The sequence below is a fragment of the Homo sapiens genome, chromosome 6 (genome assembly GCF_000001405.40).
Source record: "Homo sapiens chromosome 6, GRCh38.p14 Primary Assembly".
Taxonomy (NCBI): domain Eukaryota; kingdom Metazoa; phylum Chordata; class Mammalia; order Primates; family Hominidae; genus Homo; species Homo sapiens.
In genome coordinates, this window is record NC_000006.12 from 153,829,489 (window position 1) to 153,833,017 (window position 3,529).

At 38.2% G+C, this 3,529-nt stretch overlaps 1 annotated feature.

The window, feature by feature from the left end:
* Positions 2,109 to 2,874: an enhancer, noted in NCBI's record as "OCT4-NANOG hESC enhancer chr6:154152732-154153497 (GRCh37/hg19 assembly coordinates)". NCBI's record gives its function as "activates a minimal SCP1, AML or CMV promoter by ChIP-STARR-seq in primed H9 embryonic stem cells {active_cell/tissue: H9 hESC(primed)}" and the evidence as "EXISTENCE:reporter gene assay evidence [ECO:0000049][PMID:30033119]".

A 3,529-nucleotide genomic window follows, 5' to 3' on the forward strand; every position in this document is an offset into this window, starting at 1 on the left:
GTAGTCCTATTTTTCTTTCCTCAGTTAAGAATATGTGCAGCTTCTTTTGAGAGGACCTCCACTTTTCAGCAACAGACACAAGCTATGCTTTCCTGAGCCACAGCAAATACCTACAAGCTAGAGTCCCCAGCAGCCTCCTGGAATGTCTATACTCCCTGGCTTCCACAGACCTAACCACAGATGTGGACCTTAGAACAGGGTCATTGAAAGGCTCAGTTCATCTTTTTATTTGAGGGCATATGGTCAACTCCAAATTGTTGTGTGTTGTTATTTTGTTGTTTTTGTGAGAGACTTGAATTCTACTTCCAAATAGATGCTCAGAACCCAGAAAAGAATTTATAAAGTAAAGAAAGGTAAGAATCCAACTTTACTTTGATTAAGGAAGAGATCCATTCATCTGAAAATGTTTGAGGTATAGTAAACATCTACATTATAATTGAAATTAAGTAAATATGCACATATTAGTCAACTGAACAGAGAACTGACTAGAAGAACTCCCATCTTTATATGATGTTTATATACTATAGTTGTTGTTTGGTCAGTTGGCATATCTTACAAGAGCTAGTGAGTTCTTATAATCCTGCTAGGTGTCTGGTGCCACCAATATCAATGCCTGTAAGCACACTGCCTCACTGCCTCTCAAATACAGTCAGACTTTATTTAACAGTGGGTGTACATTCTGAGAAATGAGTTAGGTGATTTTTGTCATTGTGTAAACATGATAAAGTGTATTTACACAACCTAGATGTCATAGTCGACTATATGCCTAGGCTATATGATACAGCCTTTTGTTTCTAGACTGCAAACCTAAACAGCGTGTGACTGTACTGAATACTAACTGTAGGCAATTGCAACATAATGGTAAATATTTGTGTATCTAAACTTATCTAAGTATGGAAAAGGTACAGGAAAAATACCGTATTATAATCTTATGGGACCATCATTGTATACATGGTCTGTCATTAACCAAAATGTTCTTATGTGATGCATGACTGTACATAATATTCAAGGAACCATGATACACTCTGTGAAAGGAACAAGACATGGAACACTAGCTCTTCGCTGTACTGTAATTTTATATTTACATATATGCACACATAAGTACGCATCAGCAATTGATGCTTTATGATAAAATATTCTAAGGTTTACCTTTATGTGAAAGTATGATATATATTTATGTGTTCTCTCTGTAACTTTCCTGCTGATATGGGCAGATTTACGTTTAAGAGAAGATGGCAGATCAGGCAGATCAGAGTAATCTAATGGTAAGGCAGACTGACACTTACAGGAATCTCATCAAAGGCATCTAAAGATTTAAAAATAAGCAGCTCTCGGCTGTCCAGCTGATAACACGTAACATAGCACTCATGTAATACAGCACTGTATCAGAAATGTTTAGAATAATCAATGCCACTCATGTAATATAGCACTGCCACTCACGTAATGCAGCACTGTATGAGACATATTTAGAAGAATCAATGATTTTTAAATTAAAATGTGAAATAAGATAATTATTTTTTATATGTCTTGAGAGGTCACAAGGTGGAGAGGTAGATATAACTTTCTGCTAGGAAGCAGAGGTTCACCTTCCCCAGTATGCCAGCTAAGAGACCCTAGGCACACTCACCCCTGCATCCAAGCCAGAATCATTTCAAAAATACCTTACCTAGATGAAGGTTTGGAGCAGGGTCAAATTATTTCTTAAAGTCTATTCTAATTTTAGCCTCCATGATAACTGTATTATCATATTTTTTCATTTAAAAGAAACATACCAATATCAATATTAGTAATATTGTATATATTTTAAAATTCATAATTCATAATGTATACATATGGAGGTCACCTCTGTAGATTTTTGCGTGTATTCCTTTTACAAGCATTTGATCACAGATCTCTCTCCCCTACTAAAATGAAAATTCCTTAGAAACAAGGTAAATGTCTCATAAATCTTTATTACTTCCTGTGCCAGTTATTAAGATAGGGTGTCTCAGCTTCAAACCCCGCCTTCAACACTCTGCTGTGTGGGGCTGAAAGAGGGACTTCCCTGGTCCACTGGCTGGCTGTTAGGCTGTAAGTCCAGAGAGGGTGCTGGAGGGAGACAGAGAGGCTTAAGGGAGAAGTGGGAGAAATTCCTTCCTATTTTCTTTCCTATTCCTTTTTTGTTGGTGCTGCCTTTTTGAATCGAACCCTAACCAATTTTGTTCAACAGGATAAAGGCTATTTGTTTTGCTAGCAACAATTAATTTTAGACTGAAATTTTTCTAACCCATGTTAGAACTAGACCCTGCGCCTTCCTTGGAGACACTATCCACAGAGCAGTGACCCCTCCTCAGAGGTCAAATCAATTCCAGCGTCCCACCTCCAAACTTCCGGGCTTCAGTAATTTCAACTTCAGCTCTTTGTTCCTCAACCCTAGGAGTACTAACTGCTTCCTATTGCTCCCTGCATGAGGTCTAAGTGCTCCATTGTTTTTCTGTCTGTTCATTAATACCTGTTTTACAATTCTTTATATGAAATTATCTGTGCTCAAATGGTAGATGTGGCATTGTATGTACTGTTGACCAGATGCTAACTGGTACTTGTTAATACCTAGCCCCACGCCTGGAATAGAGGCATCTACATCTTAGTTGCACGAATGAATGTCCTATTACTGCATTTTCAATACAGTATGATACAGCTTTTATTCAACTGTGGCTTGTGCCCTTTCTGCATCATAAACTCTACATCTTGTCACACAAAGCATTCAACTCCAAGGCACATTTTCAATCTTCTAAGGCTCACAAAATTTCTTTGAAAAGTATTAGATGCTGACAGTTTTTTCCCCACCTCTTTTAGTTTTAACTCATGAATTGTTGAAATACAGTCCAATCAACTGGGCGAGGACATAAATGCACTACCATTTCGTTCTTCTATACTTCAGACTATTTTATATTAGCATCTTATTAACCATCTCTTCGTCTTGTCGACATAATATTTTAAGTGCAACTACACTTCTGTTACTAAAATTGACCAAGATAGAAACTGAATTACATATGCTCTGCCTCTTCCTGTTGCTGTCTTAGGAACAACTGCAAGCAAAGGGTAGAATATCCAGAAACAAGTAGAGGAGGCACACACACACACGCACACACACATGCACACATAAACAGACACACATACAGATGCATACACACATGTGCATACACACACATGCACATGCGCATGTGCACATACACACATACAAACACATGTACATACACACGTGCACACAAACACATGCACACATATACACATGCAGATGCATACACAATCACATGTGCATGCACAAGTGTACACACAACCACGCACGTGCACATACATGTGCACATACATACGCACATACACAGGCGCACACACGCACACACGTGCACACATAAACATGCATACACACACATGCACAGAAACATGCACACACCTGCACACACATGCATACACACAGACACATACAGATGCACACAGACACATACAGATGCACATATATACACACACACATATATATGTGCTTAAAAGA